At 50.4% G+C, this 27,042-nt stretch overlaps 1 protein-coding gene across 8 annotated transcripts; it reads left to right on the top strand.

Moving 5' to 3' along the window:
- Nucleotides 1–1,017: 1,017 nt before the first annotated feature.
- On the top strand, nt 1,018–26,950 carry SCAMP5 (secretory carrier membrane protein 5). Of its 8 annotated transcripts, XM_047432218.1 has the most exons (9): nt 1,018–1,128; nt 13,116–13,183; nt 15,346–15,395; nt 17,247–17,301; nt 18,132–18,260; nt 22,048–22,204; nt 23,325–23,426; nt 23,873–23,990; nt 24,244–26,950. In XM_047432218.1, exons 2-9 carry the CDS (start codon nt 13,168–13,170, stop codon nt 24,436–24,438), a joined length of 822 nt encoding a protein of 273 aa, XP_047288174.1. In that variant the 5' UTR covers nt 1,018–1,128; nt 13,116–13,167; the 3' UTR covers nt 24,439–26,950. The 8 variants fall into 8 exon arrangements, 7 of the variants coding, with proteins under 7 accessions (XP_047288174.1, NP_001171582.1, XP_006720484.1 ...); NM_001178111.2 differs by lacking the exons at nt 13,116–13,183; nt 15,346–15,395 and adding an exon at nt 2,689–2,771; XM_006720421.2 differs by lacking the exon at nt 15,346–15,395.
- Nucleotides 26,951–27,042: the final 92 nt, after the last annotated feature.

Consider the following 27,042-nt stretch of genomic DNA (forward strand, 5'->3'; position numbering starts at 1 on the left):
CTAGGATGGTGTGGGTGGGGGGTGGAGGGTGGGTGTATGGTGTAGGGGAAGGAGCAATTGGCTGGCAGGACAGACAGTGGCCCTGGCCCTGCCTGTAGAGATCCCACGGAGGTTTACTATGTAAACACCAATCACAATAAAATCCTGTCTTCACTCCCAGCCCATCTCTCCAAGTGGGTCTCTCTCAACCCTCCAAAGCTCTGGGTTTTTAAACATTTACCCTTGCCTCTACTCTCTCTTGGTATTCATCTCTGCATATCACTGTCTCTTTCATTCCTTTTTCTGAGTCTCTTTCTTTTTCTAAGCCTCTCCTCTCTCTCTCTCTCTCTCTCTGCTCCTTTGCGTAATTTGTCTCTATTTCTTGCCTCTTTCTTGCTTCATTATGCTCCCTTACCTATCTTATCTTTCCATGTCTTTTTTCTCTCCAGGCCTTGAGCTCTCATCTCAGTCTCTCTCTCCGTGTGTCTCTGTCTCTGTTTGCAGCTCTTCTTTCTCGTCCTCCTATGTCGTCTTTCCGTGGATCTGTGTCCTTGCCTCTCTGAATATCATCTCCGATCTTCCGTCCTCTGTTCTCTCTTTCCCCCTGCGCCTGCAGATCTGAAGGACCTTCCGCAGTCACCACACTCTCCTGCTTTCAGCTCTTTCTCACTCCTTTCTGGCACGTCCCAGAGGCTCCTGGCATAGGTATAGGAGGTTATTCTCCCCAGTTTACAGATATGGAAGCTGAGGCTCTGGCTGCTGGTGCCAGGCTCCCATCTCTGGGTCTCTTCCTTCCACCTACACGCCAGGCTCTTGTCCCTGAGGTGCCCGTCAACCACCTGATCCGGCCGGGGCCCGGGAACTAGCACCTCGGACAGCTCCTGGAAGATGCCGGGGCGGCCGGGTCGTCCTTCTCGCGAGCTCAGGAGGAGCAGCCTTAGGAGCAGAGCGGAAGTCTCGCGAGAGTGACTGCTGCAGGCAGTGGCGGCGCGGGCGCGCGCAGAGACGGCCTCGGGCGCGCGCGCGCGCGCGCGCGCTCCCCGCCCCCAGCCCCGGAGCGGCTCGCGGCCGGCTCCGCGCCGCATCGCTCGGGTGCAGCGCAGCTCAGCGCAGCGCTGCGGCCTTTCGGCAGCCGAACGGCCGCGGCAGGTGAGTCTGGGCATGAAGGCTGGGAGGAGAGCTTTGAAGGGAAGCTGGGCGCGGGGCGAGAGGTGTGGGGGTCGCTGGCTGCAGCTTTGTTCCTCCTACACTTCACCTTTGGATGCAGGAAGAAGGCCGAACTGCTGGAGAGGTGGGAGTGGAGGTGACCTTTACTGTTTGGGGCTGGGGGAGAGCGCTCAGGGCGCACCCAGGCCCCCCGAGCCCCCCAAGCCCCCCCATTCCCATCTGTGGCTCCCGCAGAGGGAACTGGGCCTTTGGGTGACGTCAGACCCTGGATCTGGAGCCTGAGCTTTGGGCCCTCCATCCCCCCCGCCAGCCCCACCTGGCGTTCCCTGGAAACCGGCCTTCTGGAGATGGCGTGCGCAGCCGGGGATGGGGGCGACTGGAAGGGGGTGCCCGTGGCTTCCTTTGGGCCTTTCCTTCCAACTAGCGCCTGCAGGTGGACCCGGGTTGACTTCCCTCACCTCCCTCGGGCGGCCGACCTTTGGATGGCGGACCTCAGCCGCCCCAGGGTTGCGAGGCGACGGGCGCGCTGGCCCAGGCCACCAGGCGGGCTCCATCAGGGCTTTGGGTGGTGAGTTGGGGGCGCCGGATTTGGCTCATTTCAACGCTGGCCGGAGGTCACGAGGATGGAGGTGAGGTGTTTGTGAACCGATCCTTGTCCTCCGCCTCGGGGAGCTCCTGGTCTGTGGGTTGGGGGAACCAAGTAGAGACTCGGACTGAGCATTCACTGTCACAGGCGGCTTAAACAAGTAATGTCCCAGCTTCCCGATGGGGAGATCAGTGAGGGCCTGGCAGACTTTCCCAGGGACACAGAGAGAAAGGGAGGCGACAGCTAGCGAATAGGAGACTTCCAGAGGTGATGGGATTTGGGTGGGAGGAGAGGCAAGAGAGGGCATTCCAGGAGAATGTATGGGCAAAGGCACAGGGATGAAAACGAGCACAGCTGTTGGGGGCTGAGCCTGGGAGCTCAGCCATGTGACTGCCCATGGGGTGGTGGAGTCTGGAGAAATTTGCAACCTGTCCCCTACATGTTCTGCCTCACGGAGCAGGGCTCTGAAAGAGGGAGATGGTTCTTGCAGGGGCATGATTGGCAGAGAGATTTTGTTTGGGGCTACACAGGTCTTGCTAACTTAGGTTTGTTCTGGGCTTGGTGAGCCTTAGGGCAAAGTCTCTAGAGCTGAGAGGGGGCTGTCTCTGGTGAATGGGCCCCTGAAAGAGGGTCTTAGGTTTAGCAAACCCCTTGGAGAGTTAGTGGGGTCCCAGGAGGGGAGTTCTAGAGAGAGACCTTGGGCTCTGTGGCTGTTTCTTTAACCGTTTCCTGAGTGGCCACCTCCAAGCAAGTTCCCCAAGTCACCTCCCCTCTCTGGGCATCTCTTTCTAGCACCTTTCTCTAGAGATGAAATAATAGGACTAAGTAGTGACCTCCCTTGAGGATGCTCCTTGTTCTAGTTTAGAGCATCCCCCCTTTCTTCTCCCTCTTCCTTTTCCTTTCCTCCCCTATCCCTCTGCCTCCCTGTCCCTATCCCCACCCCTTGCCCCCCACAGCATTTCCTTTACAGGCTGCACTTCCTTCCCTGCTGCCAGCCAGGAGTTTCGGAAGGTTTCCTGGAGGAAGTGTGATACAGCAGGTTTGACAGCAGCTTTGGGCTTAATCTGATTGGGGGAGGGCGTTAATTGCCTCCCTCCCACCCATTGGGAAAGTGTCCAAGTCTTAAGCAAGTATATGGATTGACTGTGCTCTGTGCTGGGTCCCTCCTGGAAACTCCATCCAGGAGGGAGTGAGGAGATTATGGGAGAAGACGTGAACACTTAGTGCCCAATGACTGACTCAAAATGTATGCAGCGGGATGCAGAGCAGCGATTTTTGGAAAGGCTTCCCAGAAGGGGTGGGATGTGAGAAGGTAGCAGGACTTAGAGGAGCTGATAGTGCTGCCAATTTAGGGGCACTGGAAGCAGAGGGGGCGGCTAGAGATGATCTCCTGCATGAGGCTGGGAGTGTAGGAGGCAGGTCAACCTGTGAGCAGCCAAAGGTGGTGGGAGGGAGGTTTGTAGCTGACTGGCACAAAGCCTTGAATGCCAGGCAAAGATCTGTAGGAGGCTACTGAATAGTCATCAGTAGGACAGGGACAGCATGGCCAGGAGACTGCTGTTTTCTGAGGATTATTCATAGTTCTGGGATTTCAGGGCAGAAGATGGGGCTAGGAGTGGGATGAGGGGATTGGAGGTAGAGCAGGAGGGGGAAACTTCCATCTTAGCAGGTTGGCTCTGGGCAGCAAAAAGGAATCACCATTTCTGTGCCAGGGATGAGGGGCCCATACTGGTGAGCAGGGAGCCCTGGAGTTAGCCCCAGGACTCTGGCCTGATCTGAAGCCAGGCTTGACCCTCGTCTGCTGCCAGAGGCCTCAGTCTCCCCACTGTGGGGGCTTCTGTCCTAGCTTCACAATAAGGAATGGAATACATTATAGTTAGGGTTTCATGAACAAAATTCAGGTAGTAACTGCTATCTTATTGATAATTAAGGTGTTTCCCTAGGCCTACATCTTTGGAGGGATATGTAGCCCTTATCCCCATTATAAAAGATTATCAGTTGAGCAGATTGCTAATTCTTCTGTTTTGTAGTCTAAGAACTTTGGTTTGGCCGGCGCGGTGGCTCATGCCTGTAATCCCAGCACTTGGGGAGGCCGAGGCGGGTGGATCACCTGAGGTCAGGAGTTCGAGACCAGCCTGGCCAACATGGTGAAACCGTGTCTCTAGTAAAAATACAAAAATTAGCCAGGCATGGTGGTGCACGCCTGTAATCCCAGTTACTAGGGAAGCTGAGGCAGGAGAATAGTTCGAACTTGGGTGGAGGAGGTTGTAGTTAGCTGAGATCGTGCCACTGCACTCCAGCCTGGGCAACAGAGTGAAACTCCATCTCAAAAAAAAAAAAAAAAAGAACTTTGGTTTGCAGAGGCCAGTGATTGCTGTCTTCCCCTCCAACCCCCCACCCCCCATTTCAAAGGCTTCCCAGAAACAAGGGCAGAGAAGCCTGGAGCCTTCCATTTCTGTGACCCTAGTCTTTTACCACCCTCTCAAGCCCCAGATTCTCTCTGCCCTAACCTTTATATACAAACAAGGCAGCTTTGCCCTCTGCTCTGGTTTCTGCTCTGAATTATTCATACTTTGCTGCACTGACTTCTCTGGAACTGTAAGCAGACTTTTGGGAGATTGTCTGGGACCAGGGACAGGGGTTAGGCTGGAGCCCGGTTAGGGAGAAGACTCCTCCTTTGAGGCCCCTATGTTCTAGTTGTTTTCTCCTCTCCCTCTGCTTCCTTGTTTTCCTGGAGGTCTTTAGTGCTGGACCACAGTCTCCCACTCCATGTCCCATTGTCTCAGGGGAGGTAGTGCCTCTTTCAGTCACCATTTTAACCAACTACATCTGAATGTGGTCCTCATTGGCATGTGGCCACCTCTGAAATCTTAAACTCTAGTATTTCTCTCTGACCACAGTCTAACTAATGCTTTATGTGCTCTGACCTCAAGGAGACCTCTAGTTCTCAGACACCTCCATTTTCTCCATCTCATGAATTGCCTCTTCCGTGTTCTTTCTGAACTCCATGCCCTCAACCACTTTGCCACTTTGCCTGTGTGTCACCCGAGCTGCCAGGAAGGGTCTCCAGTCTCAGCCATCCCTTCATCACTTATAGAAACCCCTCTCCTCATTCCCATCAGTTCCCCTTTCTATTCCATGGGAGGAGTATTCCAAACTGGACTACTCTCCCCAGGCCCTTTGCTCATGTAGAGGGTGGTTGGGGTGTGTGTGGGGGAGGTGGAACCACCCCCATGTTTTCCCGAGGCGGAGCTTGCAGTGAGCCGAGATCGCACCACTGCCCTCCAGCCTGGGCGACAGAGCGAGACTCCATCTCAAAACAAAAACAAAAACAAAAACAAACCAAACAAAAACAAAAATAAAAAAACACAAAAGTTAGCCAGGCATGGTGGTGCGCACCTGTAGTCCCAGCTACTCGGGAGGCTGAGGCAGGGGAATTGCTTGAACCCAGGAGACGGAGGTTGCAGTGGGCCGAGATCGCGCCACTGCACTCCAGCCTGCTGACAGAGAGAGACGCTGTCTCAAAAATAAATAAATAAAATAAAACACTTCCTGATTGCCATATCAACTTGTCACCTGACTGCTTCATGGCCATGGATATTGTTGACCCAGTCGACCAGTCATTAAAAAGATTGAGATAGATCTGTATTCATTAACATGAAAAACTTTCACGAGATATTGTTGAGTGGAAAAAAACAGGTTATAAAACAGGATGTGTGGAATGATCTCATTTTTGTCATATATGATTCTATATACGTTAAAAATGAAAGCCAACAAAATCCACCAAACCTAAAGATCAGACTGTTAAAGGGGTGGCATCTGAGAAAGTGGATTTTGGGAAGACTTTTCTACTTTATGCACTTAGATTTTTTTTTTAATTGCATATATTTTTACAGATAGCTAAAAAGCAACATATTAATTAACTAATTAGTTTAGAGATGAGGTCTCACTATGTTGTCCAGGCTGTAGTGCAGTGACTATTCACAGGTGCAATCATAGCTCATTGTAGCATCCAACTCCTGGGCTCACAATCCTCCCACCTCAGCCTCCTGAGTAGCTGGGACTACAGGCACATGCCACCGGGCTAGGCATATTTAAAAAACCTTTAAGGCCATTTTTTTTTTTGAGAGGGAGTCTTGTTCTGTCCCCCAGGCTGGAGTGCAGTGGCACAATCTCGGCTCACTGCAAGCTCTGCCTCCTGGGTTCATGCCATTCTCCTGCCTCAGCATCCCGAGTAGCTGGGACTACGGGCCCGCCACCAAGCCTGGCTAATTTTTTGTATTTTTTAAGTAGAGACGAGGTTTCACCGTGTTAGCCAGGATGGTCTCAATTTCCTGACCTCGTGATCCGCCCACCTCGGCCTCCCAGAGTGCTAGGATTACAGGCGTGAGCCATCGCACCCAGCCTTTTTTTTTTTTTTTTTTTGAAGAGAAGAAGAATAAAATCCTTCAGTGGCTCCCGTGACACTGAGGACAAAGTCCAAATACTGCCCATGGTCTTCAAGGCCAGGATGACCTAGCCCCATTTACCTTTCAACTCCATTTTGCCTTTCCTTTGCTCCCTTCACTTTGAGATTCATCCTTCCTCTGCCTCTTTCGTTCCTTAAGTATGCCGTGCTATTGCTCTTCTGACTTTCACACCTGCTTTCCTGATTCTCTTTCCCTGGCCAACTCCCTATTCCTTGTTAAAAATTCAGCTCCAGGCCGGGCGCGGTGGCTCACGCCTGTAATCCCAGCACTTTGGGAGGCTGAGGCGGGCGGATCACGAGGTCAGGAGATCGATACTAGCCGAGACCATCCTGGCTAACACGGTGAAACCCCGTCTCTACTAAAAGTACAAAAACAAAATTAGCCGGGGGTGGTGGCGGGTGTCTGTAGTCCCAGCTACTCGGGAGGCTGAGGCGGGAGAATGGCGTGAACCCGGGAGGCGGAGCTTGCAAGTGAGCCGAGATCGCGTCACTGCACTCCAGCCTGGGCGACACAGCGAGACTCCAAAAAAAAAAAAAAAAAAAAAAGATTCAGATCCAATATCTATGAAGCCATCCTTGACTCCTGTAAGACAGACCAGGGAGGTGTTCTGTGTTACCACAGCTTTCTGAGTCTGCTCTCCCAGAGTGCTCAGGCTGTGTCAGAATTGCTCCTTGATTTAGCTGGGTCCTGTACGCTTATCTCCTCCCTCTCACCTTCATCTTGTCTCCTCTATCACAGAGAAAATTGGGCTAGGTGCAGTGGCTCATATCTGTAATCCCAGCACTTTGGGAGGCTGAGGCGGGTGGATCTCTTGAGTCCAGGAGTTCAAGACAAACCTAGGCGGCCAGGCACCCTGGCTCATGGCTGTAATCCCAGCACTTTGGGAGGTTGAGGTGGGTGGATCACGAGGTCAGGAGTTGGACACCAGCCTGGCCAACGTGGTGAAACCCCGTCTCTATTAAAGATACAAAAAATTTGCCAGGTGCGATGGCACGTGCCTGTAATTCCAGCTACTCGGGATGCTGAGGCAGGAGAATCGCTTGAACCCAGGAGGCGGAGGTTGCAGTGAGCTGAGATCATGCCATTGCACTCCAGCCTGGGCAACAGGGCAAGACTCGGTCTCAAAAAAAAAAAAAAAAAAAAAAAAAAAAAGAGACTAACCTGGGCAACATGGTGAAACCCCATCTCTACCAATAAACAAAACAAAAAATTAGCTAGGCATGGTGGCACGCATCTGTAGTCCCAGCTACTTGGGTGGCTGAGGTGGAAGGATGGATTGAGTGTAGGAGGTTGAGGCTGCAGTGAGCTGTGATTGCACCACCGCACTCCAGGCTGGGCAATAGAGTGAGACCCTGTCTCAAATAAAAAATAAAACAAAATTGAATGCCTGTGAAAATAAAATAATAAAACAGAAAATTGAAGCAGACATCCAAGATGCTCTCACTGCCCATCTAAGACCTCAAACCTGCCTGCATCTGCTTGGATCCTGTTCGGCTTCCCACCTGTTAGGATCAAGGCTTGTCCACCTCCTTGCACTGGTGCCCCTGTGTCTCCCTCTTCACGGGCTTTGTCTATCAGGTAACATCTGTCTCTACTGTAATTGCAACCTTTCTATGTATCCTACACATCTCTGGCTTATTTCCACCTAAAATGACCCCCAGCTGCAGCCCTCCCTGGGCCCTCTCCCTACCCCCATATCCTACCCAGGTGGTACCCTATCTCTATTCTCTCTGTATATTGTCAGCCAGGCTTCTTTATCACTGCTGTCACCACCAAAACGATTCTTGCTGGATTCACAGCTGACTCGATGCTGTTAGTGTCATGAACGCGTTAGTCCCGGTAGTGCCATCCTTTCACATGGGAGCCCTCAGTGGCATTATCACATTTGTCCAATCTCTGCCCCTGGCTATGGAGACTCCACGCTCTCTGGGCTTTCCTCGTGTCTCATCAGCTGCTCCTTCTCATTCTTCCCCAACTATCCTATTCTGCTTGCCTTTTTTTTTTCTGCTTAACTTTCTTGACTTTTTATTTTTTTGAATAGGTAGTGCATTTATATATGATTTACAGTTCACAAAGATGTTCCAAATTTTGTCAGTTCTAAGATGAACATTTTGATATTTCTGAAAACATTTTCATGTCTGTGTTTTAAAATTTCTGGCATCTTACAGTTACAAATTGGCATTTTTATTTTTATTTTTTGGAGATTGAGTCTGGCTCTGTCACTCAGGCTAGAGTGCAGTGTGGCACGATCTCAGCTCACTGCAACCTCTGCCTCCTGGGCTCAAGCGATTCTCCTGCCTCAGCCTCCTGTGTAGCTGGGATTACAGGCGCACGCCGTCACACCCGGCTTATTTTTAGTAGAGACAGAGTTTCACTGTGTTGGCCAGGCTGGTCTCGAACTCCTGACCTCAAGTGATCCGTCCATCTCGGCCTCTCAAAGTGCTGGGATTACAGGCGTGAGCCATGGTGCCCAGCCTGCAAATTGGCAATGTTTTTTCTTACTTTTGGTCAATAAAATAATGGTCTGTCTTAAAACTGATGATGTCATCAATTATATGGAAATGGTATAAAGTTATATAGTAAATATTCTGCTTCCCACCTACTCTATATCCATTCAGTTCCTTTGTTCCCCAGAGAGCCACAATTACCATATTTTTTTCTTGATATCCTTCCAGAGATTCTTTGTGCATATATTGTCAAATACAGATATGTATATTTCCCCCCACTTTTTATTTTGAAAAATTTCAAAGCTACAAAAAAGTTTAAAGAATAGGGCAATGGGCTGGGCACAGTGACCTCATGCCTGTAATCTCAGCACGTTGGGAAGCCAGGGCGGGTAGATCGCTTGAGCCCAGGGGTTTGAGAACAGCTTGGGCAATGTAGCGAGACCTCGTCTCTACAAAAAATAAAAAAATTAGCTGGGCATGGTGGCGCACACCTGTATTCCCAGCTACTTGGGAAGCTGAGGTGGGAGGATTGCTTGAGCCCAGGAGTTCGAGGCTGCAGTGAGCTATGATTGCACCGCTGCACTCCAGCCTGGGTGACAAAGTGAGACCCTATCTAAAATAAATAAATAAATAAAATAATGCAGTGAACAACTGTATACCCTTCTCCCATCAATTATTAACATTTTGCAACATTTGCTTTATCTTTTATTTTTACTTTTTTTTTTTTTGAGATGGAGTTTCGCTCTTGTTGCCCAGGCTGCAGAGCAATGGCGTGATCTCCGCTCACCGCAACCTCCGCTTCCGGGGTTCAAGCGATTCTCCTGCGTCAGCCTCCTGAGTAGCTGGGATTACAGGCATGCACCACCATGCCCGGCTAATTTTGTATTTTTAATAGAGACAGGGTTTCTCCATGTTGGTCAGGCTGGTCTTGAACTCCCGACCTCAGGTGATCCGCCCGCCTCGGTCTCCCAAAGTGCTGGTATTACAGGCGTGAGCCACCACGTCTGGCCTATTTTTACTTTTTAGAGACAGGATCTTGCGTTATTGCTCACTGAAGGCTCGAACACCTGGGCACAAGTGATCATCTTGCCTTAGCTCCTCATGTAGCTGAGACTACAGGCACACACCACCATGCTTGTTTCTGCTTTATGTATATGTATAAAATTTTTTCGCAGAACCGTTTGAAAGGACGTTACAGACCAGACACTGCTTCTAAAGACCAGCGTGTGTCTTCTAAGAACAAAGGTGTTCTACAGGCCGGCATGGTGGCTCACGCCTGTAATCCCAGCACTTTGGGAGGCCAAGGCGGGTGGATCTCTTAAGCCCAGAACTTCAAGATCAGCCTAGGCAACATGGCGAAACCTTCTCTCTGCAAAAAATACAAAAATTAGCTGGGCATGATGGCACACACCTGTAGTCCCAGCTACTCAGGAGACTGAGACTGGAGGATCTCTTGAGCCTGGGAGGTTGAGACTGCAGTGAGCTGTGATTGTGCTGCTGCACTCCTCCAGCCTGGGTGACAGAGTGAGACCCTGTCTCAAAAAAAAAAAAAGAAAGAGAGAAAGAAACAAAAACATGCACACATACAATACCCAAGAAATTTAATAGTGAATAGTAGTATCTACTATGCAGCCTATATTCAAGTTTCTCTAGTTGTCCTAAAAATGTCCTTTATAGCTGTGATTTTAAAATCCAGGACCTGGTTGGGCGCGGTGGCTCACGCCTGTAATCCCAGTACTTTGGAAGGCGGAGTTGGGCGGATCACGAAGTCAAGAGATGGAGACCATCCTGCCCAACATGGTGAAACCCAGTCTCTACTAAAAATACAAAAATTAGCTGGGTGTGGTGGCGTGCGCCTGTAGTCCCAGCTACTTGGGAGGCTGAGGCAGGAGAATCGCTTAAATCTGGGAGGCAGAGCTTGCAGTGAGCCGAGATCGTGCCACTGCACTCCAGCCTGGGTGACAGAGTGAGGCTCTTGTCTCAAAAAAAAAAAAATCCAAGATCCGGGCCTGTAATCCCAGCACTTTGGGAGGCCAATGCAGGCAGATCACCTGAGGTCGGGAGTTTGAGACCAGCCTGACCAACATGGAGAAACGCCATCTCTACTAAAACTACAAAATTAGCTGGGCGTGGTGGTGCATGCCTGTAATCCCAGCTACTCCAGGCTGAGGCAGGAGAATCGCTTGAACTTGGGAGGCGGAGGTTGCGGCGAGCCACGATTGCACCATTGCACTCCATCCTAGGCAATAAGAGCGAAACTCCGTTTCAAAAAAAAAAAAAAAAATTCTGCCAGGCTTCCCCATTGCATTTGGTTGCATGCCTCTTTTGTCTCCATTAATTTAGATAAATTCCCCCTGCCAATTTCTGTCTTTCATGACATTAACATTTGTCTCGTAGAATTTCCCACAATCTGAATTTGTCGGATTGTTTTTTCATAATTATTTTCAGATTAAACCTTTTTTTGGCAACAGTATTCATACATGACCTTGAGTCCTTCTGTGCACAGCATAGCAGGAGGCACATGATGTTCTTTCTTTCTTTCTTTTTTTGAGACGGAGTCTCACTCTGTCGCCCAGGCTGGAGTGCAGTGGCGCGATCTCGTCTTACTGCAACCTCCGCCTCCCGGGTTCAAGCAATTCTCCTGCCTCAGCCTCCCGAGTAGTTGGGACTACAAGCACGTGCTACCATGCCTGGTTATTTTTTGTATTTTTTGGTGGAGACAAGGTTTCACCATGTTGGCCAGGCTGGTCTGGAACTCCTGACCTCAAGTGATCCGCCTCGGCCTCCCTTTTTTTTTTTTTTTTTTTTTGCTTTGTTTTTTTGAGATGGAGTCTAGCTCTGTCACCCGGGCTGGAGTAGAGTGGCGTGCTCTCGGCTCACTGAAACCTCCGCCTCCCGGGTTCAAGCTATTCTCCTGCCCCAGCCTCTGGAGTAGCTGGGATTACAGGCGCCCGCCACCACACCCAGTTAATTTTTTGTATTTTTAGTATAGACAGGGTTTCACTGTGTTGGCCAGGCTGGTCTCGAACTCCTGACCTTGTGATCCTCCTGCCTCGGCCTCCCAAAGTGCTAGGATTACAGATGTGAGCCACTGAGCCAGGCCCTCCCTCTCTTTTAAAAAATAAAATAATAATGTCACTTTGGACTCATGGATTAATAATAAAAAAAATCTATGTGGGCCGGGCACTGTGGCTCATACCTGTAATCCCAGCACTTTGGGAGGCTGAGGTGGGTGGATGGCTTGAGGCCAGGAGTTCAAGACTAGCCTGGCCAACATGGTGAAACCCTGTCTCTACTAAAAATACAACAATTGGCCGGGCACTGTGGCTCATGCCTGTAATCCCAGCACTTTGGGAGGCCAAGGCAGGTGGATCACGAGGTCAAGAGATCGAGACTATCCTGGCTAACACGGTGAAACCCCGTTTCTACTAAAAAAATACAAAAAAATTCGCCAGGTGTGGTGGCGGGCACCTGTAGTCCCAGCTACTGGGGAGGCTGAGGCAGGAGAGAGGCAGAGCTTGCAGTGAGCCGAGATCACGCCGCTGCACTCTGGCCTGGGTGACAGAGCGAGACTCCATCTCAAAAAAAAAAAAAAACAATTAGCTGGGTGTGGTGGCGGGTGCCTGTAATCCCAGCTACTCGGGAGGCTGAAGCAAAAGAATCACTTGAACCCAGGAGGCGGAGGTTGCAGTGAGCTGAGATCATGCTGCTGCACTCCAGCCTGGGCAACAGAGCGCGACTCTGTCTCAAGAAAAAAAAGAGAGAAAAAAATCCACGTGGTTATTACTTTTGATAGTCTAATTGTCCCAAATTTGGTTGGTGGTAGCCCTTTCAGACTGGTTCTTGTGTCCTTTTGACTTGCCTCCATTAGTTATTGAGTACTTTCTTCTTTATGATACCACAAGATGTTCCAGGCTAACCTTGTATTTCCTTTTCCTGGCTTGGGACCAGCCATATATATTTTTAAAATTCTGTGTTCATACTGATACCTCCGCTTTGAATCCAACACCACAAGGCTCTTTCTTACCTTTCCGCGGTCTGAATTGTATCTCCTACAGTGAGAAACCACCTTCCCCAAATAATCAGCACACTGATTCATTTGCCCTCTCCTGTAGTATACGGGCAAAGCTTTAGAGTCGTCACAGCAGTACCAGCAGTAAGAGTAAACTTGCTAAAATTCATGACTTGTTTGCAGTTTCTTTTTCTTTTTTTGAGACAGGGTCTTGCTCTGCCGCCCGGGCTGGAGTGCAGTGGCGCAATCACACTTCATTGCAGCCTCGACTTCCTGAGCTCAAGTGATCCTCCCACCTCAGCCTCATGAGAAGCTGGGACTACAGGCGCACATCACCATGTCCCGCTAATGTTTTTTTTTGTTTTGTTTTTGTTTTTTTGAGACGGAGTCTTGCTCTGTCGCCGGGCTGGAGGGCAGTGGCACGATCTCGGCTCACTGCAACCTCTGCCTCCCAGGTTCAATCAATTCTCCTGCTTCAACCTCCCGAGTAGCTGGAACTACAGGCACATGCCACCACGCCCAGGTAATTTTTGTATTTTTAGTAGAGAACAGGGTTTCACCATATTGGCCAGGATGGTCTTGATCTCTTGACCTGGTGATCTACCCGCCTCGGCTTCCCAAAGTGCTGGGATTACAGGCGTGAGCTACCATGCCTGGCCATGTTTGTATTTTTTGTAGAGACGGGGGTCTTGCTGTGTTACCCAGGCTGGTCTCGAACTCCTGGGCCCAAGCGATCCATCTGCCTTGGTGTCTCAAAGTGCTGGAATTCCAGTCATGAACCACTGCACCCGGCCTGTTTGCAGTTATTTTTGCCCTTGAGGTTTATCTTTCTAGGAGAACATAGGAGAACCCAGAATTACTGTGATCAAAAGTTACTTGGGCTCTTTTTTTTTTCTTGTCTGTGAGATTGTTATCAATTTAAAGTATAGTTAGCTTGATTTGTTTTTGTTTCAGTTTTAGAGTTTGCTTTTCTTTTTGGTTTAAGTTTTTGAAATATGGAAGTCATTTTATGTGTACAAGTATATTAAAAAAACTTATTAATAAGTATATAAAGAATGGAAGTCTCTCTACTCATCGTAGCCCTTCCGTTATGTAGGTGACTATTTCATTACTTTCTGGTTGATTCTTCCTGTGTTTCTTTTGCAAAAATAAGCAAATTCATATGTGCATTCTTACTTCCCCTTTCTTACATAAGGGGTAGCATATGATTTACACTTTTTGTGCTCTGCTTTTTTTTTTTTACTTAATATATCCTGGAAAGCATTCCACAGCAGTTTACTGAGCTCATCTTTATTCTTTTTTTTTTTTTTTTGAGACATGGTTTCACTCTGTCACCCAGGCTGGAGTGCAGCAGCGAAATCTTGGCTCACTGCAACCTCCGCCTCCTGGGTTCAAGCGATTCTCCCACCTCAGCCTCCTGAGTAGTTGGGATTACAGGCTTATGCCATCATGCCTGGCTAATTTTTGTATTTTTTTGGTAGAGATGGGGTTTCACCATGTTGGCCAGGCTGGTCTCAAACTCCTGACCTCAAGTGATCCTCCTGCCTTCGCCTCTGAAAGTGCTGGGATTACAGGTGTGAGTCACCATGGCTGGCATCTTTTTTACATCTGTGTAATACTCTATTGTATGATGCACCTCGTATATTCAAATAGTCACATTTAGGTTGCTTTAAGCATTTTGCTAATGCAAATAGTGTCATGTCGAATAACGTGTGTGTTTGTCATTTCTTATATCTGGGTAAATGACTAACAGGAGCAGGATTATTAGGTTAAAAGGAAAATATATTCTTATTATCTTCTCTTCCTTTTTTTTAATATGAAAAGTATAACATACAGACTGTTGTACATCTTGCTTTTTTTAACTACTCATCTTTTTGGAGACTTTTGCATATCAGTACCCAGAGAACTGCTTCCTCTTTTTAAAATTTTTAACAGCTGCAAAGCATTTTTAAAAATAGCTGCGGAACAGTCCATTGTATGACTACCATTGGTTTAATCAGTCCCCTATTGATGGTTTCTAATCCTTTGTTATTCAAAACAGTGCCGCAATTAATGCACCTGTGTATGGGTATCATTTCCTGATTGTCTCTATCATACCCTTCTCTTCTCTTTTTGTGGTAGATGTTACTGGGTTTTTGTATCTGTATTTGATCCCATATCACAAAAGAGTCCGAAGATTGTAATTGCCCGATCTTTTAATCAGGTCCAGAAGAATTTGACTGGAATGCTAGAAGTTTGTGTGTGTGTGTGTGTGTGTGTGTGTGTGTGTGTGTGTGTGCTTTTTTTCCTTTGAGACAGTCTTGCTCTGTTGCCCAGGCTGGAGTGCAGTGGTGCAATCATGGCTCACTGCAGCCTCTACCTCCTGGACTCAAGCAATCCTCCCACTTCAGCCTCCTGAGGAACTGGGACTACAGGCACGCACCATCGTGCCTGCCTAATTTTTTATTTTTTGTAGAGATGGAGTCTCACTGTGTTGGCCAGACTGGTCTTGAACTACTGGGCTCAAGTGATCCTCCTGCCTCGGACTCCCAAAATGCTGGGATTACAGGTGTGAGCCACTATGCCCAGCCTGAAGTTTTTATTTTAAAGCAAACTTCTCATGGAAGTCTAACACACAGGAGATTGCACAAGTTGTAACTGTATGCTTGGAGAATGTTCACAAAATCCATACCTTTGTGTATCCAGAACCCCGACCAAGAACAGATGCCGGGCCCCCAGTCGCTGCCCCATCAAGGGTAATACTATCTTGACTTCTAACACCATAGATTTAGTTTTTCCTGTTCCAAAACTTTAAGCAAATTTCTGCCCAGCTTTTAAATGTTGCATTGCCTTAGCACTTGGTTGTGGACCATTTTCTGCTGTTGACTATATAAATGTCCACCAAAGTCACTGTTCTAACAAGGTGATTGCTGCTTGGTTTCCTTGGCCTTAACTTGCCAGTGATTACTTAGCATGGGTCAGCCAGGCCTCCTGCTGAACTCCCAGGAGCAGAGCATGTTTGTACCCTCCAGATTCCTATAAGACGCCCTGTCCAGGTGTCCCCCAGCGTCTCTACCCTGTATGTCCCTAGCACAGCTGCTCGTCCTCCCCTGGAACCTCCGCCTCATCTCACACAGGCTTGTCATGATGGGTCTCCACCATCCACTCGGGGTTAAGTGGGCAGGGAGTCTTCCAATTGCTCCCTTTCCCCTACTCCTTAAAACCAAGACCCCTTCAAACTTGTCTCCTAAGGGTCTCAGGAAGCACATCCTGCCCACCTTGCCTTTCCAGCCTCATCTGCTGCCCCCTCATTTGCACTCTGCTTTGGCCATAGTGGCTTTCTTTCCCTTATGATGGGTGGCTCATGCCTATAATCCCAGTGCTTTGGGAGTCCAAAGCGGGAAGATTGCTTGAGGCCAGGAATTTGAGACCAGCTGTGCAACACAGCAAGACCTCCTCTCTACAAAATATTAAAAAATTAGCATGGTAGTCTGTCCCTGTAGTCTAGCTACTCAAGAGGCTGAGGCAGGAGGATGGCTTGAGCCCAGGAGTGCCACTTTACTCCAGCCTGGGTGACAGAGTGAGACCCTGTCTAAGAAAAAAAAAAATGTGAAGCTCCTTCCTAGTAAGGAACTGTCCCTGTACGATGCTTTCCCATCTGCCTAGAAGGCTGTTTTGCCCGGGGAACTCCTCTTCATGCTTCAGGTTTTTACTACCACTTGTATTTAATTTCCCTGAGGCTGGGTGCAGTGGCTCATGCCTGTAATCCTACCACTTTGGGAGGCTGAAGCAGGTGGATTGCTTGAGCCTAGGAATTCAAATTAGCCTGGGCGATATGGCGAAACTTAATCTCTACAAAAAAATATAAAAATTAGCTGGGCCTGGTGGTGCATGCCTGTAGTTCCAGCTACTCAGGAGGCTGCGCTTGGAGGATCACCTGAGCCTGGGGAGGCTGAGGCTGCCGTGAGCTGGGATTATACCACTGCACTCCAGCCTGGGCAACAGAGAGAGACCCTGTCTCAAAAAAAGTTTTTTAATTAAAAAAATTTAATTTCCCTGCCTCTCCAGACCAGATTAGATCACCAGGACATGATGTGTATGTTTTCACGGTGGCTGTGCTTGCCTTTTGTATGATTTACTGCAGAGGTGATTGACTGTTTCATGGGGAGAGCAGGGACCACATCTGTCTCACTCATTCTTCCAGCACCATATAAGTGTCCTAATAAATGAACAAAGGCAAAAGGAGCAAAGGGAGGCTAGCCTGTGACCAAGGCCGAGGCTCAGTCTGTAATTCAAGGTCAAGGAATAGAATGTCACTTGGCTTTCCCTGTATGGGATCCCCTCCCAGGTTCCTTTCCTACCCTTGGATGGGGTTTTCAGAGAGTAGATTTTGTGCCTTGAAGCAGAGGGCGGGAGCAGCTGGTAAGATGCAGCTGGTGGAAGGGTGGCTCTGGGAGGAGGGGAGCTGCCTCCATTGCATTCACGGCACTGTGGGAGTATGTGCTGGGTCCTGTCCTGGGGAGCTTGCAGCCCAGATGAGGAGTAGAGAGGGACTGGGTTGGGTGTGGCCCTGATCTCATCCTTCTCTGGCTTTTCTTTCCTTGCAGTTCAGGACAAAGAGGTGTGGGCAGGCCACTGGGCCAGCTGGTAACATCATGGCAGGTAAGGAGAGGGGCAGGCTGTGTGGGTAGGACATGACAGTGAGCATAGCGTGGATGGCCCTCTTCCTGGTTCCCTTATCTCCCCTAGTCTTTGGAGGCCAGGTTCTTTCCATCTTACTGTCCCCAAGCTTTCCCCACTCTCTCCACTGAGGCCTGTCTGAGAACTTCAACATGACATTGTCTAGCCCTCTGTCAGATCTTTGGTCCTATGGACCAGGAATTGAGCACCTTGATGTCCTTGTCTTACTGTCCATCTGCCTGATTAGCTGCATGAGTGGCTCAGCCCTCCTCCCCTCTGTCTCTATTGCTTTCTAATACTCTGAGGCCTTTTTTATCTGGTTCAGAAGGCTCAGAGGTGTAGAATGCCAGAGCTGGAGGGAACTTTAGGGACCGTGTAGCCCAGCCCCCACTCCAGCAAATAAACTGAGGTCTAGAGAGGGGCGATGATTTGCCCCAGAGCACAAATGCTGAGTGGAGGCTGGAACCCACGTCTGTAGATTCTCACACATCCGCTTCTTCTGCCTGGAGCTGCCCCCACTGAGAGGGTGGTACCTTGAGGCCCTGAGACAGTGTCACTCAGAATTAAAAAATAATAAATGCTGTCTGTCAAGGTGACATTGTTTTTTATTCTGAGTGACACTGTCTCAGGGCCTTTGGCTACTTTGGGATCATCACAGCTGACCCGGGGAGGTAGGGACGGCTGGGTGGGGAAAGCAGAGTGGCCGGTGGCCACAGGGGCCAATGGGGCAGCACAGCCAGGGGAAGGATGGGCGTCTTGGATTGTCGGGTGGAAGACTGGAGGTGATGTTGTGCAATGTGTCTCATCCACAGAGAAAGTGAACAACTTCCCACCATTGCCCAAATTCATCCCGCTGAAGCCATGTTTCTACCAAGACTTCGAGGCAGATATTCCTCCCCAGCATGTCAGCATGACCAAGCGCCTCTACTACCTCTGGATGTGTGAGTGCCATGGGATGGGGGTGGGCCAGGGTGGCTGGAGGAGGCAGGAAGACTGGGCGTGCTGGGCAGCGGGGTGGGGTGCCCACAGGCCTGACTGTCCTTCAGTCCCACTTGTGGCATATGCATGGACCATAAGTCTTCCCCTGCCAGGCTCCCAGAGGCTTCTTCCATGGGCCACCTCCCCGACTGGGCCTCAGTTTCCCTCAACCTCCCCCATCTAGGCCTCTCTTCCCTTCCTTCCCCTCCACCCTCCTTTCACAGAGCATCTGGACAGGGGTCCCTCTCTGCAGTGTAATCCCTGTCTTCTTGCTTCCCCTTTCCCTTCCACTGGAGTAACTTTCCAGGGAACCTCTGGGGACTGTCAGGACCTCAGGATTCTGGATTTGGAGAGGAATCCTTCCCTCAAAGCCTTATTTGTCTTGCTTTCTCTGGAAGATTGCTCAAAGAGAGGAGGATTCAGCTGGGAGTTGGGAGCTGTGGGATCAAGTTTGCCTGGTCACTGTGCTTGCCAAGCAGCAGGTTCCTCATTTGTAGGAAGAAAGTATTGGCTTGGCGATTGCTGTGGTTCCATGCAGCTCTGTGTTGGGTGGTCTATACCTGTAAGAGTCTAATGTCAGGCACAGTGGTTCACACCTGTGATCCCGGCACTTTGGGAGGCTGAGCCAGGAGGATCACTTGAGGTAAGGAGTTTAAGACCAGCCTAGGCAACACAGCAAGACCCCTGTCTCTACAGAAAATAAAAAAATTAGGCCTGTGTGGTGGCTCACACTTGTAGTCCCAGCTATTCAGGAGGCCAAGGCAGGAGGATCCAATGAGCCTAGGAGTTTGAGACCAGTATGGGCAACATAGCAATACCCCATCTCTTTAAAAAAACTAGCTGGGAATAGTGGCACATGCCTGTAGTCCTAGCTACTCAGGGGACTAAGGTGGGAGGATCACTTGAGCCCAGGAGTTCAAGGCTGCAGTGAGCTATGATCATGCTACTGCACTCCACCCTGGGTGACAGAGTAAGAGCCTGCCTCTAAAAAAATAATTAAATAATCTAGAATTCTTTATTTAGAAAACCTTAGCATCAATGTTCTAAGGTTTTAAGGCTGAGAGTGTAAAGGCCTCATTTCTGGTGATCTGTAGCAGGGGGTGGGAAAGGTGTCTTCTTGGGGGGATGGGACTTGGCTGTGCTGAGGCTAGTTAGAAGGTACCTCTTAGGCATGTGAGGGGGAGGCAAGCTGGCTATCCTGTGCTGGGTGTGAGCCCCAGGATCCCAAGATACCCGCAATGTAACTGCAGTTGGGTTCTGCTATATGTGACACTGCCCTGAGTGAGGCCTGCACTTAGCTGCCTACCTGGGCAGATGCTTGCATGTGCCGACAAGGTGGTAAAATATACTGTCTTTGCAGCAGGTCCCTCATGGCATGGTAGGAAGAGGATGGGGCAGACAGACTCAGTTTCAAGGCCTGGCTTGGCCTTTGAGTGAAGAAGGGATCTCCCACCATGTAACCTGAGAGAAGGGGGGATGGGACAGGTGTGGGTAAGTCTGTAGATGTTGGGAAGCAAATGAAGAAGTTACCTCTGATGGCTTCCATTTTTTCCATCAAATATGATGTAGTGTGGAGAGTGGGCTCACAACGAGGCCATGTTTGTCGACGGATAGTGAGGACACTCTCCAAAGAAACCCGGCCCCTAAGATTTCTGGGCCACACACAAGGTTCATTTGACATTGGCTGATGTGAATTTACAGTCTTCCTCATGGGGTCCCCTTTTTTCTTAGCAACATTCAGCTCAGGTACAGATGAGAATTATGTTCATCTAGGGTGAGTGTGGCCAGAAGGCAGGGCAGGGGAGGGAATAAGAAAATGAGTAATGAATTATGGAATCTAAGCTGGATAAGGAGAAGAGTGAAGACAGAAAGAAGCTGATGGCTAGAGAGAGAGAGGGGCTGAGCTCATGGGTATCCATTCCAGAGAGGAAGCAGAATAATTGCAGCAGAGGTGTTTGAGCAAGGGAGCTGGGGCAGGTTGGACTGGGGAGAGATGTGAACCAATATAATAGGTTAGTGTCTTTTCTATATAAAGAGCAAATAAAATCAGTTTTAACACCAAGCCTCCAGGAGATTTTGGGGCAATGAACAGGGATAGAGGAAATACAGCTGAAATGTACAGGAAGAAATGCCCACCCATGAGGGGCCCTGAGATGGGTGACACGGTGGTCAGGCCAGGCTTGTAGGTCACTGTGTCTGACCTGGGCTCTGGGAACTCAACTTCTGGGAACATCTCATCCAGAAGCTGGATTTAAGGGCTATAAATATCTCCTTAAGTCCTCACTAGGCACCCGCAGGTGCTTTACTCCCAAGGAAATGTATATAACCCTTGAGGTGCTTAAGGGTTCTATTCAGAAGACAGGACCACAGATGCCTGGCTGTTTGAGGCCACGGTTGAGCCCTCCTTCCTTTGTTTATTCAGCAGGTCTTTGTGGACTTAGCTTTGTTTTCAAGGAAGGGAGTGCCCTGATGTTAGATAATGATGTGCTGCACAGACCCGCATGTGTGTTAGTACCAGCATCACTTTTATCTGTAAATCTTTGAGGTCCCTGCTGGCCGTGACTCAGTGACACTGTGCCTCCTAGTTCAGCTAGATGAGGTGGGGACAGAGGGGGGGGGGCCTGGGTCCTGTTCTTGGGGAACTTTTAGTCTGGTTGATGGGCTGGGATTTATATCTGGGGAACCTTGAGAGCAGCCCAGGTCTGTAGAAGGTCAGAGGGATGGGAGATGATGAGGTTGCAGTAGCAAAGGAAGACTTCTTCAAGGAGCTGGCATGAGTGTTATCTAAGAAATAGATTAGATAGCTGGGCACTGTGACTCACACCTATAATCCGGCACTGTGGGAGGCCAAGGCGGGTGGATCACCTGAGGTCAGGAGTTCGAGACCAGCCTGGCCAACTTGGCGAAAAACCATCTCTGCTAAAAATACAAAAATTAGCTGGGCGTGATGGCAGGCACCTGTAATCCCAGCTACTCAGGAGGCTGAAGCAGGAGAATCGCTTGAACCTGAGAAGTGGAGGTTGCAGTGAGCTGAGATCGCGCCACTGCACTCCAGCCTGGGCGACAGAGTGAAATTCCATCTCAAAAAAAAAAAAAAAAAAAAAGAAATAGATTAGATAAAGACTGAGATTCCAGCCGCCAATGCCTGCCCCATTTAAGTGCAAGGTAGATGGCACAATGGCTAGAAGAGATGTTTCCACAAGGCCTTTTATTTTTCCCTTTCCATGCCCATATCTCGAAAGAGAAAGTGTAAGGTCGGTTTCCCATGTCTTGGGCTTGGTGATTGCTGTGAGTCTGGGAGGGTCAGGGGCTGAAGCCATTCTTGACAAGGACAAGAGCATTTCTACCACCCTGAGGCTTTGGGGCCCTTCAAAGGGGCTTGCTGGGCAGAAGCTCTGGGTTCTGGAGGCTGTGCTCTCCAGATTTCTCAGGAGTGGGTGCTGGGGTTGAGGGGTGGGGGTTGGTTCGAGCTCCCAGCTTGCGTTCTTACAGTCTTTACTCCTCTGCGTGTGTATGTGTGTCTCCTGTGTCTCTGTATGTATTTGTTGGTACGGGTTGTGGGTCTTTTGTGTGGGTGTGAATCTGTGAATGTGTCTGCATCTCTCTGTGCTTGTCTGCGCTGTTGGCCTGGCTTGATTGTGGGTCTCTGTTGCGTTACTGGTGTGTGTGTGCCCATGTCCGGGTGCTCATGTGTCTCTCTATGGGCCTGGGTGTCTGTCTCTATGTGTGCATGTGCTCCTGGGCCTGCAGTGAACAGCGTCACGCTGGCCGTGAACCTGGTGGGCTGTCTCGCGTGGCTGATCGGAGGCGGGGGAGCCACCAACTTTGGCCTCGCCTTTCTCTGGCTCATCCTCTTCACACCCTGCTCCTACGTCTGCTGGTTTCGGCCCATTTACAAGGCCTTCAAGTAAGTGGTTGGTGCTATCCGCAGTGCCTAGCCGTCTCTGCCCATCTCCCCTGTCTCTTCTCCATATCTTTTCTCACTTCTTTTTTTTTTTTTTTACCCTCCCCCAAACTCACTTTCCCTTGCTCACCTTTGGCTCAGATTGCTAGGTAGGGCCTGGGCTTTCTGGGGGTGCCAAGTTGAGGTGAGAGGGCTGAGAGTTAGTTTCTTTCCTCCTCACTCTACCCTTGGGTGGGGGAAATATAGACAGACCAGGCCTATTTTTTCTTCTGTCATCCCCTTCCTCAGGCAGCTGCATGTTAAATTTTGCCTGTGGGGCTGCCTGTCTTGGTGGAGCTGCCCATCCTAGTACCTGTGGGGCTAGCCGACTTGGTGCCAAGGACACCATCTATCCATGTGCCAATGGGACCAGCCAGCCATGTACCATTGACACTGTTCATGTGCAATGAGGTCATCCAACTGTGTGCCAAAGGGAACACCCATCCACATATCAGTGGGGCTTGCTGTCTTGGTGCCAGTGGGTGTCTACCTAGTGCCAAATGGCATTTTCAATCTTTGTGCCAATGTGACTATTCATCAATGTACCAAGGCTATCTGTCTTGGTGCCAGTAGAATATCCATCTCAATGCTAATGGGGCCTTAAATCTCTTTGTGCCAATCAGGCCATCCATCTAAGTGCCAATTAGCTACTGTTTTGGTGCCAATAGGGTGTCCATTCTAGTTCCAATGAGACTTTCTATCTCTGAGCCTATGAGACCATCCATCCATGTACCAGTGGAGCTAGCTGTCTTGGTGTCATTGTCCATCCCCTTGACAATGAGACTATTTATTCCTGCCTCAGTGGAGCCATCTATTTCTATGCCAATGAGGCCGTCCATCCATGTACCAGTGGGTGGTCTGTTCATGGGAAATCCCTCCCTGTGTAATGTTGCAACACACAGGTCTACCACGTGGAAACTTGCAAAGATGTATGGGTAGAACTAACCCCTTCTGACCTCTCAATTAAGGCCTTTAAATGTCTTCTGTCCATTATGCACTTAAACTTGGAAGGGCTTGGGGGCCTTGAAGGCAGGGAAGCCCTGGCCCTCTGCCCAGGTGACGGGAGCCACCTCCTCTGCCGCAGGACTGACAGCTCCTTCAGTTTCATGGCATTCTTCTTTACCTTCATGGCTCAGTTGGTCATCAGCATCATCCAGGCCGTGGGCATCCCAGGCTGGGGCGTCTGGTAAGAGGCAGGGGTGTGGCCTGGGGCTGGCAGGGGTGGCGTTGTGGGTGTATCTTTTGCTTACCTTTGTGTGCTAAGCTGTCTAGCCTATGGGGCCTGAGTGATGGGTTGTTGGGAGAGTGAGAGGATTCGGGATAGTGTAGTAGTACAACCATAGCATCAGAGGGAAGGAGAACCTGGCAGTGGTTTCTTGGGGGCTGAGGGGTGTCAGGGATTATAGGAAAACCTGGGGGAAGAAAGTGTTGTATCTGAAGAGCACCTCTGAGCCACAGGGATGGGGTCTTCTTGAGCCACTGGCACAGGTTCTTTGGGTATCAGTAAGATGGTCCCTCTGCATCCAGTGATATGTTTCCTCCCTGTGGCAATGAGACGGTCCCTTCCTCTAGCGGGGGGCTCCTGGGCACCTCTTATCCTGCCCGCAGCCCCACACTGGCCTCTTCCTGCAGCGGCTGGATTGCTACCATCTCCTTCTTCGGAACGAACATTGGCTCGGCGGTGGTGATGCTAATTCCCACTGTCATGTTCACAGTGATGGCCGTCTTTTCCTTCATCGCCCTCAGCATGGTACGTGGTCCCCTCAAGGGTGAGAAGGTGGCTTTGGGAAGGGGCCATGTTCTGAAACAAGCCCTCCTCCAAGTTGCAAGAGGATCCCGAGGTCTTCCAAGGGACTCACTCTGGAATGGCCTGCAGGACTCTCCTACAGAGGCATTCATGGGGAGGGAGCACTGTTTTTTTTTTACAGATGGGTCCCATCTATTTCCTGGATGGGCTGCCTTTTCTCTTTGATTAACCCTTCTTTACGCTCTTTTTCCTACAGGTTCATAAATTTTACCGGGGAAGTGGGGGGAGTTTCAGCAAAGCTCAGGAGGAGTGGACCACAGGGGCCTGGAAGAATCCACATGTGCAGCAGGCAGCCCAGAACGCAGCCATGGGGGCAGCCCAGGGTGCCATGAATCAGCCTCAGACTCAGTATTCCGCCACCCCCAATTACACGTACTCCAATGAGATGTGAACCAGCCACGCCTACCAGGTGGCAGAGCTGGGGCCATTGGGACAGGGGGCTCAAGCCACATCGTCATTTGTGGTTACCAAGCAGGGTTCCCCCTTCCCTTTTCTCCTTCCCTACTTTGTACAAAGGACCAGAGTTATATATATATATATATGTATATGTCTGTACCCCAGCCCCCACCTTTCAGATTCTGCTCTTGGCACTCAGCTGTGGGCTGCACGTGGAGCTGTCCCGTGCGGTAGTAGCTGTGTCTGTGTCCCCTCGTGAAATAGTGTGCAGTGGAGGTCTCTTGTGGTGCTAGATGTGTGTTTAGAGCTAAACCAGCCCCCACCCCCACCCTCCACCTGCCCCTCTTGCCTCTGGCCCCTCTGACCCTGGCCCAGGGACCCCTCACGGGGCCAGGGGAGGCATAGCAGAAAGACTGGCCCCTTCCTAGGGTTATGAGCTGGAACTGTTTCTACTTTCAGTCTTCCTGGGAAGTAACAGTACTTAGCACTCTTGGTGGTGGGTGGGAGGGTGGGTACAGGCCAGGGATATTCCCTTGCTCTTTTGATCCCTCCAGGCCTCGCCTCCTTCAGCCTCCTCCTCCCTCATCTGTTCCCTGATGTCACATTCCCTGTGCAATCTTCCCTTGCCCATGGTCTGTCTATCTCTTTCCTATGTGGCTTTTCTTTGTCTTCCCCAAGGCTGAGTGTCCCAGTTTTATCTGCTCCTGAGACTGAGCCCAGATCCCCAAATCTAATCTGATTTACAGTTCAAGGAAGCTGATGGGGAGCTGGGCCTTACCCCTGATGTAGGAGGGGCACACAGCTGGGGGTGCAGAGCCCACCTGGGTACCTGACCCCCAGGGGATGAAAATGCAAGGATGAGTCTGCTTGGGCCTGAGAGTTTGATCTGCAGGGGCAGGCTCATCTTTTCTCTCCCCTGCCTTCTCCTCCTTCTCTCCCCAGAGCCCCCTTGAGCCCCTCTGCCTATGTCCCTCTGCCTCCTCCCCATGCCCCCAGTTGCTGTGGCTTGATTCTGCTACCCTGACCCCACCATGTGCCAGGTGGCATCTGCCTTACTGCCTTCCCTGAGGAGCTGGGACATGCTGGGCAGTTGTCAGATGTAAAGGCACAGCTGGAGCAGAGGGCATGTCAGTAATGATTGGTCCCTGGGGAAGGTCTGGCTGGCTCCAGCACAGTGAGGCATTTAGGTATCTCTCGGTGACCGTTGGATTCCTGGAAGCAGTAGCTGTTCTGTTTGGATCTGGTAGGACAGGGCTCAGAGGGCTAGGCACGGAGGGAAGGTCAGAGGAGAAGGCAGGCAGGGCCCAGTGAGAGGGGAGCATGCCTTCCCCCACCCTGGCTTGCTCTTGGTCACAGGGCGGTTCTGGGCACTTGAACTCAGGGCCCAAGCAGAAGCACAGGCCCAGTCCTGGCTGCAAGCACAATAGCCTGAATGGGATTTCAGGTTAGGCAGGGTGGGAGGGGAGGCTCTCTGGCTTTAGTTTTGTTTTGTTTTCCAAATCAAGGTAACTTGCTCCCTTCTGCCTACAGGCCTTGGTCTTGGCTTGTCCTCACCCAGTCGGAACTCCCTACCACTTTCAGGAGAGTGGTTTTAGGCCCGTGGGGCTGTTCTGTTCCAAGCAGTGTGAGAACATGGCTGGTAGAGGCTCTAGCTGTGTGCGGGGCCTGAAGGGGAGTGGGTTCTCGCCCAAAGAGCATCTGCCCATTTCCCACCTTCCCTTCTCCCACCAGAAGCTTGCCTGAGCTGTTTGGACAAAAATCCAAACCCCACTTGGCTACTCTGGCCTGGCTTCAGCTTGGAACCCAATACCTAGGCTTACAGGCCATCCTGAGCCAGGGGCCTCTGGAAATTCTCTTCCTGATGGTCCTTTAGGTTTGGGCACAAAATATAATTGCCTCTCCCCTCTCCCATTTTCTCTCTTGGGAGCAATGGTCACAGTCCCTGGTACCTGAAAAGGTACCTAGGTCTAGGCCCTTCTTCCCTTTCCCTTCCTCTCCCCTACCCCAGAACTTTGGCTCCCTTTCCCTTCTCTCTCTGGTAGCTCCAGGAGGCCTGTGATCCAGCTCCCTGCCTAGCATCCATGACCTGTTGGATGTTACCTCCAATCAGTTTCCTGTCCTACCTGCCTCTTTGGCTTGGACCTATATGGCCATGCTCTGGCTCTACCCTTGGGAAGCCTGATCCCGGTGTGTGGCCCAGCTTGTTCAGGCCCTGGGATGCTGCATCTCCAGGCAACTATGCACTTTCCCGGGGAGAGAACCAGTATGAGAAGTGGGGGCAGGGCACACATTCATCTTTGTAGGAAGGTCTGGCCTGGGGTCGGGTGAAGGAGGGCCCAGGTCAGTTCTGGGGTCCCAGTGACCTGCTTTGCCATTCTCCTGGTGCCGCTGCTGCTCCCTGTTTCTGGAGCTGGATGTTCCCCAGCTGGCAGTTGAGCTGCCTGAGCCAATGTGTCTGTCTTTGGTAACTGAGTGAACCATAATAAAGGGGAACATTTGGCCCTGTGTGTTCTGCTGTGTCATGTGTCTTCCTGTGGACTTGCGTGGAGCCTCACAGCGGGCTGTGGGGCAGGGGCATGAAAGTATGGGGGGTGGGTGG

This window comes from Homo sapiens, chromosome 15 (genome assembly GCF_000001405.40).
Source record: "Homo sapiens chromosome 15, GRCh38.p14 Primary Assembly".
NCBI classification, from domain to species: domain Eukaryota; kingdom Metazoa; phylum Chordata; class Mammalia; order Primates; family Hominidae; genus Homo; species Homo sapiens.

Coding starts and splice junctions, on each gene's coding strand:
- SCAMP5 (XM_047432218.1), top strand. Junction 15,396..17,246: donor CAGTCGCTGCCCCATCAAGG/GTAATACTATCT, acceptor CTTTCCTTGCAG/TTCAGGACAAAGAGGTGTGG. Junction 23,991..24,243: donor CCTTCATCGCCCTCAGCATG/GTACGTGGTCCC, acceptor TTTTTCCTACAG/GTTCATAAATTTTACCGGGG.